Source organism: Homo sapiens, chromosome 11, assembly GCF_000001405.40.
Source record: "Homo sapiens chromosome 11, GRCh38.p14 Primary Assembly".
NCBI classification, from domain to species: Eukaryota; Metazoa; Chordata; class Mammalia; order Primates; family Hominidae; genus Homo; species Homo sapiens.
In genome coordinates, this window is record NC_000011.10 from 91,217,706 (window position 1) to 91,233,145 (window position 15,440).

At 35.2% G+C, this 15,440-nt stretch overlaps 1 long non-coding RNA gene across 1 annotated transcript in view; it reads left to right on the plus strand.

Annotated features, from left to right (window-relative positions):
- Positions 1–10,741, plus strand: part of LINC02748 (long intergenic non-protein coding RNA 2748) — a 70,456-nt gene extending 59,715 nt beyond the window's left edge. Inside the window, exon 5 of the long non-coding RNA NR_183632.1 lies at positions 10,277–10,741. This is a non-coding gene — a long non-coding RNA (long intergenic non-protein coding RNA 2748). The remainder of the gene's footprint in view (positions 1–10,276) is intronic.
- The last annotated feature ends 4,699 nt before the right edge of the window (positions 10,742–15,440 follow it).

The window sequence follows — 15,440 nt, forward strand, 5'->3', positions numbered from 1 at the left end:
GGGGTTGACAAATGTTAACTTAATCAAACACACTGTAATCACAACATATTCATGACCTGATCTTAGTAGGAATACTTAGAGCAGAGTAGGTACTCAATCTATCAGCAGTAATTGACAGGTTCTATTTTGGGTTTTCATAATATCTGAAACTTTCTGTATTAGCTTGCTGTGTTAGCAGTTGCTATGTTAGACAGTAAGCACAGTGACTTCTCAGCACATTTCTTTTTGATTCAATAAGTGATTATTGGATAAATGATAGCAATCTAAACCTGAAAGTTTAAAAGAGAGTAATATAAGATGAAAAATAGGATAAGACAAAATTATGTCTACTAACACTTCTAGTTCAGATTTTTAGAATGCATATGTTTCATTGCTGTGGTTTATCAATTTCCCTATTTCATTGTCTCTTATACATATGAATGATTTACTGACAGGAACAAAAAATGTAATGATTCCGCACAGCACCTCATAAGGGCCTAAGTAAAACTGCGACACCATTAATAATTATAGTCAGTATCTCTTCACTTCCTTTTAGGTACCCCATCCCACAGTCCTCAAATTTCATGGAGTATTCAGAGATGGTCCCCATTTCCAGAAAAACGTTAATGTTCTACTCCAAAGTTGTCTGTTGCTTAAACTATCATCTTTGTGCCCTGCTCTCTGATAGGATGCCTCACCAACAGTGTAATTGTGTGGTAGTTTAAAATAATAGACTTTAAATAAATGCTCTATCTAGTCCAGGTAGTACTTGCCCTTTAAACAGGGTCTTCAAGCTTTTAAGCCAGAGAAAACTGGAATTTAAAGATACAAGCTGGAAGAAATAGGAGATAACTGGGTCAAGGGGCTTTCCTGATATTTCCTATATCACATCCTTGTCAGCAGCTTCTTACTTTATCTAAAATGAAAGTTGGATCTGAAGAGACTAAGTCCTTTTTGAAAACAATTTTAGGCAGGTAAGAGACAAATAAAAAAATTTGATTCATAAATCACCTATTACTAATTCACCTGTTAATAACTCTAAGAGTTTAATAAAAAGTGAAAATAATAAGATCAAAATATATACAAAATTCAGCTTCATAATATGTCATCCAAAAGAATGTCACATATATTCATTTGTATCAAGCTAAAAGCTTGCCTGCCTATTAAGACAACACACTATAAATAGCAGGTGAACGTGATTAGGGCAGAAAATCCTAAACAAATGAGATCAATAGTTATATATATTTAAGCTGCACTTCTTGCTTTAGATAAATTGTTCTTATCCTAATTAGTAAGATTATTGAGAAGAAACAGTTTATCACATGACTCAGTACAGCTTGAGAGGGTTAATACTTTCAGAATGAACAATTCAACTTGTGAAAAAGGTGACACTTTGAATATCAACTGGTAACCAATATTTTGATGAACCATATTCAGCCAAAATGTTCGCAACACATTTTGTTTGCCTCATTTTGCTAGGTACTTCATTTAGAGAAGAATGTGATACAACCTCTATCCTTAGAAAACTCACTTGCTAACAAGAAAACTTTCTTCTAAAACAGCTGTGGCTCCCCCATCACTGATGCCACAGCCACTCAAAACCTCTTTATACTTCTTTTCAATACTTTAAGTGTAGTTATGAAAAGCTATCTGTCTAAGTGTTGTGGGGACTGACCATCTTCAGGCAAGACTGTGTCATCCAGTTAGGGAAAAATCTAACCTGGAGAAGGACAGTATAAGGTATTTACCTGTTGTGTAACTGAAGGCATTAGTCTTAAGGTAGAGAGATTCTCACTAAAAGTAGTACGAAATTGACTCCAAATTGTAGTCTTAAGTTTTCCTTGCAGACTGGAGAGGAAACTATAGAATTACTGGACAGAAGAGTAGAAAGTAATGTGTCAATTACTGAGTGTGAGGTGGGAGAGAGATGTTTGGTATGCATTTCTTCTAAGCCTAAGCTTATGACAAGAATAGCAAACGCCCACATGCCTGGGCTATTTTTAACCAACTACAAATAATATGCCAAGGATATAATGTCTTTTTAAAAAAGAATGTTCTACTCCCTCCCAGATGGTTTTATAGAAATATAGATGTTATGCAATTATCACCATGGTAACCCCATATCTTGCCTCAAGAAATCAACATGTCACTTATTCCTAACATTCACTTGTCTTTTCTGAGAACAGAATTTTGTTCAATGTATCTCTCTTTTGTAGCACTACCAGAACTCTTTGATTCCTGTTTATATTACACACACACGCACACACAACATTAAACTCAAGGCCATAGTGAGGGTTTCATGATAAGAGGATACCATATAAACATACTTCATTCTCAAATAAAGGAATTGTCTATTCTGGAATCTCACTCAAATTTACAAAGAGCAGTCAAGAACTGATTTTCAGAACTGGTAAATCAATGTACAATTGTAATGTTCAACAAATATGAGTTTCAGGAACATAATTGCTTATATATTAAGGAAATACTATTACAAGTTCATTGTAGAAAGCAAATGTGGCACCATTTACAAGATTAGCTGACAGAAGCTGCACATGAAAACATCTGTTTATGTTCATGGGGATTTCTTGTTAGCTGAGCCCAGGGCTCATGTGATGTGCTTTGAGAAAGCTGTATTCCTTGGAATGTGTCTTCTGTAGATGCAATAGTTGTACCTTGTCTTTTCTCTGATTATATAGAGAAGTAAGTATTCAGGTAGGATTATTCAGCCTAGATCAGATGACTATGTCAAGCTTGCCTCTCACCAGTGGTTTCTCCACTCTGCATCCATTAGCCTATACTCATTCTTGCCCTTCTCTCACCATTCAGCGGTATATTAGTTAACTAATAATGCATAACAATTATCCTAAAACACAGTAGCTTGAAATAACTAATATTTATTATCTCACATTTTCTCTGAGTCAGGAATCTGGGCATGGCTTGGCTGGTGTCTCTGACTCAGGAAATTTCACAAGGCTGTGTGCTGTCATAAATGGCTACAGTCACCTCATGGCTCAGATGGGGGAAGTATTCACTTCCAAGCTCACTCAAGTAGCTACTGGTAGTCTTCAGGCCTTCACTGGATGTTGAGCAGAGACTCCAGTACTTTGCTATGTGGACTTTTTATATGGCTAGTGACAACATGGTGGTTTGGTTCCATAGAATCACAGGAGTGAGAGATAGAGAAGATAGAATATGAAGATAGAATAGAGAAAAGGATATAATAAATGGCATGATAACATTTTTGCCATGCTGTGTTTGTTAAAAATGAGGCACTAAGTCCAGCTTACACTCAAGGGGAGAGGGTTACACAGGCTGTGGACACTAGGAGGCAGAAATCATTGAAAGCCATTTTAAAGACTGCCTACCACAGATGGATTCTGAGATTGCAAATATAAATGGACATTCCATTTTAAATTTATCTCCCACAAAATAAGGTAAGAGTGAGGATTTAGTAAGGAAATTATAAAATGTATTCTGGTGCTTAAACATAAATGATTTAGAAGTTATCTGATGTTCATTTTAATCTTGCTATCGCTATCCTCAGTACAAGCAGTGAAGTTAACTAAGATTTTGTGCTTGCATATGGTGATTCTCATGCGCAGAGAAAATTATATCTCAGAGTCTGTTGTGTGGGTAATAGAAGGATTTAGAGTCAGAATTGTCTTAGATTCTAAAAATACTTGATCTCCCTATATAAAGTAAAATTTATTTCTTTATCTGAAAGTGTGAGCTTCTACAGAAAAGATGCATATAAAGCAGAAAGGGAGGAAGCAGAAATGTGCCTGCTTAGTCAAATGAATTCAGTCAACATAGTTAATCAATAGGGCTACTGATGCCACGGATTAATCATTTTTTTAATCCTTTCCCTAAAGCTTGTGAATTTCTCTTTTGGTCTCCATTCTAGCTTTCCCAAGGGATCATAGCCTAAATGGCCTTTAGGCTTTACTTCCGTGGTAAATATTAATTGGAGCCCTCAGAGAATATATAAGGAAGATTGAATTCATTTCTTAAAAGCTCATACTTCATCTGCAGCTCTCCTCTACTGTGCTAGAGAAATTATATATTAGCCAGAGATGGACTGCCTCTTTTCCAGAAACATAAAGAAGTCTAGAAGGTTTTATTTAGTGCAAATATCTAGGACATCTCCTCTGGCCTGGGTCTGTCCTGGTGACCTTTACATATTCATTTTTTAAGCTGCATTATGCCCTGAAAAGTAACTGTATCCTTGAAAATCTGAATCTGCATGTTGGAGACTTTTATTAGGACAGAAGTCCCAGTGAACAAGATTCAGCATCTGTAGGTATACCACTGATTCATTTTCTGCTAAGCAGCTCACTGTTCTAAGAATTAACAGGCTTCATTCTAAAACACACTGCCAATATGGGCCACTTCTTCCTCATTTTCCAAGTCCTATAACCAATGTTCATTTCCTTGATTCTATCCCACGTGTTATTCCTCCACTAAAACAATTCTGCTCTTTTCCACATAAATATGTTTTTACTCTGGAACAAAGTCAATGTCAGCTCTTTAAAGTATTGCATTTCTCTTGAGTCCAGGAGTTCAAGACCAGCTTGGGCAACATGGCAAAACCCCATCTCTACAAAAAATACAAAAATTAGCTGGGCATGGTGCTGTTCATCTGAAGTCCCAGCTACTTGGGAGGCTGAGGTAGAATAATTGCTTGAGCCCTGGAGGTTGCGGCTGCAGTGAGTTTTGATCTCATCACTGTACTCCAGCCTGGGCAACAGACCAAGATCTTGTCTCAAAAAAAAAACAAAAAAACAAAAATAATATTGCTTTTTTCAAAACATCACTGGTTGCAGTCAGGAAGGGAAGGGAGTCAAAACTGACCATTATTTTTAGTAATTTTTATAGCCTTATTTCAATAGCAATATAAACAAAATATAAAGGATTATTTTAATAAATTTTGCTATCATATGTACTAAAGTATCCCATCCTATCATAGTGACTGGACACTTCCATCAAGTGTCACATTTTTCAGGAAGGTATGCAAGATTTCAGGTTATTCTCCACCTAAGAGAGTCAGACCAATACCTGCTGGGCAACAGGAATCCTGGCTTGTCCTTGAATATAGCGCATGTAACAGTCCCTCTTGAACCTCTTCTAAGGTAAGTGACCTATAATCTTGCAAGTCTGGCTGACTCCCAAACAGGATAAAACACTGAATTTTGAGAAAGAAATAAATAGGAGGGAGACTTAGAAGGAACTGTAAGGGAGACTCTAGAGTTGTTGGCACTTGCTCAAAATTGGAGGCAGCCCAGGCATTTGCTTTTTGATTTATAGTTAAAATGAATCCATAAATATGCCTTATAGAGTAATTCTGTCAGAAATGTACGTGGCTATTAGTTAACCTTACAAGCACTCTTTCATGGCCCAGCTAAAAAAAAATCAATTATATTTGTCACTATAGCACTATCCTATTATAATACAGTTTATCAAAAAAGAAATTTGTTAATTCCAACCTAGGCAGAGTTATTCATGCCTTCCAATATTGTTATGTACCACTTGTCATAATGTATTATAAGCATTGCTTAACCCTATTTTTCTTATTATTGTACATTCTATAGAGCTGAAAAGGTAGCAAACATGCTTTGAGCATCACAGAAACCCCGGTTCCTAATTCAAAGTAGCCGTTCAATAAATATTTCTTAATATATGATCAGAGGGAAGAATAATATGATGTATAAAGGCTAGGGGATGTACCGTGTTTGCAGTCTGCTCCTTCAAGACTTCTACACATTAGAACAAGGCCACGAAAAAGACATTGCAAATAGAGACATTTATTTCCTGCCCTTTTTAGAATTGTATAAAATATTCTATATTTACAATAATATAATTTTATCCTGAACAAAGTCGTTAGTTTTATGAGAGTTAGAATATAGGCTGGATTCAGGTTCTAGATCTACCACTTAGTAAATGTTTGACCTTGGGTGAGATCAAACTTAACCACTTTAAGCCTCAATTTTCCTACCTCTAAAATGCAGATTATTACAGTAGCTAACTCACAAGGATGTCCTGAAAATTAATAAGGACACATTTTTTACAGCCATTAGCATAGTGCCTGTGACAGGTTAACCCTTCAATATATAACAGAGCAATAACAATAAGAACAACATCACTTGATTTATTTATTGGTTGAGATATTAGACCTGTTTGTAGGAACATTAAATGGAGTCCTTTATTTTCCTACAGCAAAGTTTTACGTATTATATTATGAGACTTTTAATTAATGGGATTACAGAAACCCTAGGAAAGCATCAAAATAAAAAAACCCTAATAAGCTCTCAAAATAAGTATAACATTTGAAAAACATAAGATCTAAAAGAGAAATATGAATTAAAATCAGTGTTGATGTCTCAGGCTTTATTATAACTCTAGGAATAGTTTTGAAATTATGGTATTTATATATATTCTATCTTAAAAGTAGTTAGAGGAATAAGATATACTGGTTTGAAATTGTGGTCTAAATCACATAAGATAATTTAACTAATCAATTAGTAATCATTGTTCAAAAGCTTGGAAAGCTGTTTATTAAATTTTATATATTTAACAATTGATCATTACACTGAAAAAAATTGTATCACCACTTCACTTTGTGGCCATATCTGTGTTTATGTTGCCTATTTCTACGAAGAAAACAGCAAAGCTTGAACGGGACATGAAATACGAAGTCAGTAGTGGAAAAGGACTCAAAAGTTATACTCACGTTATAACAATTCTGCTCTTGTAGTTTCTGACTGGCTTGAGACATTTTTAGTAAAAAGGATAGCCCCACATGGGATGAAGACGCCCTGCCCGTAAGTTTGACTGATTAGAAAATATGTTGTGTTCCTCTTTTCCTAATTGAATACCCTTTATTTCTTTCTCCTGCCTGATTGCCCTGGCCAGAACTTCGAACACTATGTTGAATAGGAGTGGTGAGAGAGGGCATCCCTGTCTTGTCCCTGTTTGCAGATGACATGATTGTATATTTAGAAAACCCCATCATCTCATCTCAAAATCTCCTTAAGCTGATAAGCAACTTCAGCAGTCTCAGGATACAAAATCAATGTGCAAAAACCAACAAGCATTCTTATACACCAGTAACAGACAGAGAGCAAAATCAGGAGTGAACTCCCATTCACAATTGCTTCAAAGAGAATAAAATACCTAGGAATCCAACTTAGAACGGATGTGAAGGAGGTCTTCAAGGAGAACTACAAACCACTGCTCAATAAAATAAAAGAGGACACAAACAAATGGAAGAACATTCCATGCTCATGGATAGGAAGAATCAATATTGTGAAAATGGCCATACCGCCCAAGGAAATTTGCAGATTCAATGCCATCCCCAACAAGCTACCAATGACTTTCTTCACAGAATTGGAAAAAACTACTTTAAAGTTCATATGGAACCAAAAAAGAGCACGCATTTCGAAGTCAATCCTAAGCCAGAAGAACAAAGCTGGAGGCATCACACTACCTGACTTCAAACTATACTACAAGGCTACAGTAACCAAAACAGCATGGTACTGGTACCGAAACAGAGATATAGACCAATGGAACAGAACAGAAGCCTCAGAAATAATACCACACATCTACAACCATCAGATCTTTGACAAACCTGACAAAAACAAGAAATGGGGAAAGGATTCCCTATTTAATAAATGGTGCTGGGAAAACTGGCCAGCCATATGTAGAAAGCTGAAACTGGATCCCTTCCTTACACCCTATACAAAAATTCAAGATGGATTAAAGACTTAAATGTTAGACTTAAAACCATAAGAACCCTAGAAGAAAACCTAGGCAATACCATTCAGGACATAGGCATGGGCAAGGACTTCATGTCTAAAACACCAAAAGCAATGGCAACAAAAGCCAAAATTGACAAATGGGATCTAATTAAGCTAAAGAGCTTCTGCACAGCAAAAGAAACTACCATCAGAGTGAACAGGCAACGTACAGAATGGGAGAAAATATTTGCAATCTACTCATCTGACAAAGGGCTAATATCCAGAATCTACAAAGAACTTAAACAAATGTACAAGAAAAAAACAACCCCATAAAAAAGTGGGCAAATGGTATGAACAGACACTTCTCAAAAGAAGACATTTATGCAGCCAACAGACACATGAAAAAATGCTCATCATCACTGGCCATCAGAGAAATGCAAATCAAAACCACAATGAGATACCATCTCACAGCAGTTAGAATGGCAATCATTAAAAAGTCAGGAAACAACAGGTCCTGGAGAAGATGTGGAGAAATAGGAAAACTTTTAAACTGTTGTTGGGTGGGATTGTATACTAGTTCAACCATTGTGGAAGTCAGTGTGGCGATTCCTCAGGGATCTAGAACTAGAAATACCATTTGACCCAGCCATCCCATTACTGGGTATATACCCAAAGGATTATAAATCATGCTGCTATAAAGACACATGCACACGTATGTTTATTGCAGCACTATTCACAATAGCAAAGACTTGGAACCAACCCAAATGTCCATCAATGATAGACTGGATTAAGAAAATGTGGCACATATACACCATGGAATACTATGCAGCCATAAAAAAGGATGAGTTCATGTCCTTTGCAGGGACATGGATGAAGCTGGAAACCATCATTCTCAGCAAACTATCGCAAGGACAAAAATTCAAACACCGCGTGTTCTCACTCATAGGTGGGAATTGAACAATGAGAGCATTTGGACACAGGAAAGGGAACATCACACACTGGGGCCTGTCATGGGTTGGGGGGAGCGGGGAGGGATAGCATTAGGAGATATACCTAATGTAAATGACGAGTTAATGGGTGCAGCAGGTGCAGCACACCAACATGGCACATGTATACATATGTAACAAACCTGCACATTGTGCATATGTACCCTAGAACTTTAAGTATAATAAAAAAAAGAAAATATGTTGTATATTATCTAAGTGCAATGTCTTATTTGTTATAGTAATACTTCTTCTAGACCAAATTGAAAATATTGTAATTAGCAGCATGACAAAGATAATAGCTGTTATTCCCTGAAGACCTACTAGGTTCCAGGCATACCTCTGCAAGAAGAGTTTATTATTTACATTATCTTGTGTGCCAAGTAAACTAACATTAAGCAGTTTATGTAATGTTCCCAAAGTCACCCAGGTAATAAGTGGCAAAGTGAGGATGTGACAATAGCTTTTTCTGCCTCCAAAGTCAATGCTCTCAATTGTCTAATCACTTAACCTATGAACACCACAAGGATGATATAACATTCCCAGGTACCCCAAATAAAGTTTCTCTCATTTGCATATGCTTAAGAATCTCTGTGGGTTTTGCTTCATATTTATGTATGTGAAGTTAATTGCTGAAAAATGTTTAGCTTACTTAATTGGGGTATACTCTTAAGATTAAATTTAACTCCACATTTGCAAAACTGATACCAGCTTTAAGAAACCCTATTCTTTAGCTGTACCAAATTACTACTCATTCTGCCAAATTATTATGCTTTGATCTTGTCTTAGCCCATCTGGTTTCTCCTACTGGAATCCTTTATCTACTTTGAAGATATGTCCATTTATTTTATTTTTTAAGGCTCAGGGCGAGCATTTCCTACTCTATAGAGTTTTCTAAGAACTCCTTATACTACTGCAAGTTGTATGGCCTTCCTTTGCATCCCAGTCCACCTTATACACACCTCAACTCTACTATTATCTCATACTTTATAATAATTTTTTACCTATTGATTTTTCCCCTTGCCACACTACACTGTAATCTCTTGAGGAGATAATTTCATCTCTCCTAAATCTTTCTGATGCTCAGCATAGTGTTTGACACAAAATATAGTCTCCATAACTATTACTGAATAAATCATCACAATTAATAAACATTCTCATATTTTGATTTCCTTCTGCTTTTACAAATGGTTTCTCTATAGTTAAAAAACTATGTATACTACATTTCAACATCCTGTGGCATTCTCTAATATATCACATAATGTTGTGACATTATCTAACACCTGACTTGAATCATTTCTAAGGTCTCCAGTCCTCCCATGGAAATCTACATTTTATATTTAAGATTCAGGGAAGCACAAGCTTTTATTAAAAGAAGCCCCTCAAAATAAGTACCACCTTATTTTCTTTTAATAACCAGTCACCAAGGAAAGTTATCATACTAGCTTAATTTTTCAAGCTTCCTGATAGTATTGATCCAAGCATGGCCAGATGGTTTCTTACAAATAAACTCCAGGTGGAATGATATTAGTTTATTTTTAATCATTCCTGTTCTAAATATACTTCTTTTTTCTTCCACAGAACAAAGAATTGATTCAATGCCAGACTGTCTGGAGCCAGTAGAACTGAAGAAAATGATGACTACTAGGGAATAGATTTTAATATGTGTAATATGGTTTAGTTGACCACAATTATTAACAATCAACATATCATAGAAACAATATATTGTTTTCCCTAATAATCAGGCCTGGGTCTACAGAGTTGTACTGAGAACAGGATTAGTGTAGCTGATGATATATGAAGAGTTATCTTTGTCACACAGCCTGAAAGATTATTAAATGTCTACTTGGTCAAGCACTTAAAGCATGCATTCTTTAGCTATCCTTTTCTCTCTTAATTTCTTTTATAAAATTCAGGAGATGTTCTGATCTCTGAGAATGTAAAACTTACAAGTGCAAATTTAAACCTCCAAATTGATGATAATCTTTTGGTGGATATAGGCACAGAAATAAACAAAAACAAAAATAAAAAAAAATTATGTGTCAACAAATGCTTATTTGTCTATAGGTAGATTTTGCCAGCCCAGAAATAGTTTCCTAGGTTTCAGCGAGGAGTTGGTATTTGAACAAAGAAGGTGATTACAATGTGATTCCTTTCTAATTTCTAAGAGTACAGTGTTCTATAATTGCTCAATCAATGAATGAGATAACCCAGCACATTATAGCATCAGATGAAAGAACTTTTCATTAGAGATAGAGGGGTCAGAAAAGAAAGATATTCCAGGAAAGGGAGCATCTCCTCTATGTCCTGCAGGAGGAGTTGGAGCCAACCAGGTAGGCATGGTAGAAAATAGCATTTCAAGCAAAATGGTGGCTCTTATGGGAAAGAAAAGTGGGGCCTCTGGGCAGCAGCCAGACTTCAGACTTGTCTGACACATCTCAGACATTATGTTTCCCATGTGCCACCTAACACCATATACTGCATTCTATAAGTCAATGCTTTTGCTTAATATTGCAGCTAGTGCCAAATATGGAAACACTAGAAAATAGGGAGCTAGCTCGACTTTTTATTATTTTGCTGACTTCTAGCAAAAGGCAATTTCCTAAGTTTCTCTATCTGCAAGATGGTGATAAATATGATAGCATTTCTTTCATATGCCCTTTTAAGGTGGCTAAAATTAAAACATAATTTATGTGAAAGGGCTAAGAAAATTACCATTAAATATTAATATTTTCTGGATTCAAAATTAAGATGAGGAATTAGAACTAAAAAAAGCATCAAATAAAAGGGAAGGTGATTAGTGAAGAAATTGTGTAAATGGTATCCTGAGAAACCATATACATTTAATATTAACAAGATATGTGTATATATACGTGTGTGTGTGTGTGTGTGGATATGTGTGGAGATTTTATATATATATATATATTTATATATATTTATACATATATTTATATACACGTACATATATATATATAGTTACCAATCTAAGATGAGTAATCTTTGTGTCTGAACCCTATATTAAAATGTAACCTCAATTTACTATAACAAAATTGGGCAAAGGAAGAAATTTACCTTAAAATTAAGATTTTTCTTAAGTTAATTTTGTTTTCCTTCTAGTTTTTTTCAGAGCTTTTCACTGTCACAGTAGCCTTTGTCAGACAGTAAGTTATTCACACATAATTTGTCATGTGTTGGAAAAAAAAACACAGATGCTTTTGAATGATGCATTCTTACTTTTATAGTCAATAATATTTATCTCAGAAACAGCAAAACTGGTAAAAACAAGAAAAAAAGTCCATTAATACTTGTACCAATAAAAGGGAGTATTAAGGTTGGATAATATAAACCACATAAGGAATAGTAGGTTATCAGAGGTTATCTTTTATGTTACAAAATGAATAAAAAATAAATAGAGAGAATAGAGAGTAAAAGAGACTCCATGTCTTCAAATAAATTTAAAGAGAGGAAAAGACTCACTAGAATTGTCCAAGAGTTCAGCAATTTCCAAAGATATGTTTATTTTCCATGGAAATTTGGCTTGTAAATAACAGATATAAGTGTTATTTTAAAATCAGGTACAGAGCTACAGAAAGTGTTTTTAAGAGACTGAAGAAACTAACGTAAATTCATATTTGTAAAATTTGAGGCCGGTGACCTGAAATGCTTCATTAAAGTAATCAAGATTCAAGAAAATGCTGTCTTGTGGTGAGGTCTGCTGAGACTACATTCCCAGCACCATGCTCCACGCACTTCCAATTCTCCTCTGTGTGTTCACTTAGGCTAGAGGGGCCCGTGGGGTGGGTGACTTGATTATTTTCCTAAGGTTGTATTTCTACCCCTCTTCACTGCAAGAAATATGAGAGACTTTGAAATAATTTCACAAACAATCTTAGATTATACAATCTCCCATAATATCTCCTTCTCCCTAAAATTTTATCTGTATAGAAAACTCTTTGGTGCAGAAGAAAATGTTATTAAAAATATGTAAGCATTAAAGCAGTCCTTCTTGAAATGTAATTGGAAATACAAAGATGAATGTTTGATGCCCAGCTCTGAGTTTTCTTTACCTTTTGTAAATAAAAGAATTAAATGTTTTTTATTTGCATCATAACAGCCAGTAATCCGTTTAGTGATCCGCTACTGTGTGCCAGGTGGTATGCTATGCTTTAAATGAATTACCTTATTTAATTTCTGATAAATCCTATGAAATAGGTACTATCATTATCCCAATTATACAAATGAAGAATGTGAGACTTGGAGAAATTAAGTAACTTGACCTTAGTGTCACTGCTAACCAATAATGGAGACTTTAGAACCCTGACACTCTTACTTCAAAGCCAATGTAAACCTATATGGTTTGCTGCCTTTATGAGATGTTGTTACTGCACTTTAGCTCCAGGCCACTGATCCAGTCCATCCTATTGGCTGAGGTTAGTAAAAGCTCTCTCAGGTAACAGGAGAACCACCTAGATGAAAAGAGTGCTGTACCAGTACATTGTTCTTTCTCTTAGGTCTGCAATGTGTTTACTTTTAAGTTCTTTTGTAGGACCAGCTCATTAAGTGCACTTCAAAATGAGCTGTCTTCAGATTATGAAAGACTTACACAGATCCTCTGAATTCTTTTCCTCCAAAAAATGCATAGACTATCTAAGATAATTATGCCTTTCTCTCACGTTCCACAATCCTTAAGTTATTTCCTGAAATAAGTTGATGGGACTTTTTTTTCTATGTCAATGACATTTTGAAGCTACAATGATCTCAGTTGCAGCTCTCAAGGAGTTCTGTGTGTTAACATAATCCTTTGAAGATAAAAAAAAAAAAAGAAACATGAGAACTTGTATTTGTTATGCAGTTCTTTCTTAAACTAACCTTCAAAACCACTCATTTGGCCTAATAAATTATACCTTTTAGTTTGAATCATTTTAACCCACTTATGCCTGAGGTTACAATTTTTTTGAATATTTGCTATCAGACCTTGGTGATGACCCTGAGCAGTGGGCTATAAATAACTCCCGCGTGCTAAGCATTCCAGTAATGGAACACTAGGCATAGTTTAGGAAATTCCACTTTTCAAAGCTCTATTATCTCTGCCTATTTTCTATTAATAGCTGCCATTTATTGAGTTCTTCCAAACTACAGAAAATGTTGCCAAAAATCGACCTACATTAACTCATCTAATCAACGGTATTACATGAGTGTGATGATCCCCATTTCACAGAAGAAGAATCTGTAGCAAATGAGACTCTTGTCTCACTTACGGTCAAACAGCTGAGACTTGGTTCTTTTGCTCATTATCCTCTCATTCTAAAGCACATGTTTCTGATTACTCTTATCACATTACCCCTCTACCTCTGTCCATTTGACTCCTTCAATATTTTTGTTAGGAAAATATAAGTGCATACTAATCATTTCTTTATAAAACATAGTAGCATTTGTTGCCTTTTTAAAATAATTTAACTTTCTAATATAATAGAGAACTGGCTCACTACCATTTATTTGGATAAAATTGGCTGAAAATTAATCTAGAGTTAAAATTATTGAATTTGAAGTGAAAAATATTGTGAAATACGCTCCCATTATCCCATTTCATTTTGCATGTTAGAGAGTTGACATAGCTTCAGATAAATTAAAGGGAAATCCTGGTGTCACACCCAGAGTACCCAAAGAGGGAAGGTGAAGGAAGAGCACCAGTGCCTCTGCATAATCACAATTACATTTGAAAATGTTACTTTTAAGTATGTTGACAAAACCCAGAGACTGTTAGTGGCTCTCTCCTTCCAGACCTGCAGAGGTCTACTGAGAATAGACCCTTTTTGTTAAGTAATGGAAAGGACAATTCACACTCTTTAAAACTATTAACAGACACCTAAGCCACTGACCCAAGTGCCTTGTCAAAGAGGACTAATTAATCCCACATTTGGAAAACATATTTAAAAAATTGAATGCCAACAATCTTGTGTATATATGATGTCTGATGTTACTAACAAGCAGATAGGGGTTAGTAAAATAATCATTGAAAATATAGTTAAATTTAAAATGATTTCTGACATTAAGGGCCACATTTCTCATAAAAAGTGCTCTTTTAATTGTTGAAGATCTCTTGGGGCTATTTTTATACGTCTAATCTTTTCTTAGGACTCTAGACCCATTTTTCCCACTATCTAAAACACAGATGTCACTGCTTCCTACAGACTTATATATAGACCTATATATATGAAGCTAACTATTAATTTTTCCTCAAACCAGCAACTTTTCATAATTTTTGTGTTCTTCGTATAGAATAATCATATTTCATAAATGTAAGCTATTTAAATTATTTTTAAGTCTTCCTTTTTGTCTATATTCTTTCTTTTTTTATGTACATGCACTCAGTATTCAGCAAATACCTGTTCATTTCTTAATATGTGCCCCACACTGTTGTATGGCTGTTTTGCGGCTACAGTAGGGAAAAAAACAAAACAAACAAGCCCCCCAATTCCTTATTGAACACATTGTAGTTGAGAAAGTGAGACAAATCAAGAAATAAAATATGTAGAATATCAGCTGGTGATAAAAACTATGGAGAAAAATAAATCAGTGTTTAGTCTGTTCTCGCGCTGCTGATAAAGACATACCCGAGACTTAATTTATAAAAGAAAGAAATTTAATTGACTCACAGTTCCACATGGCTGCGGAGGCCTCACAATCACGGTGGAAGGCAAATGAAGAACAAAGTCACATGTCGCATAACACAAGGCAAGAGAGC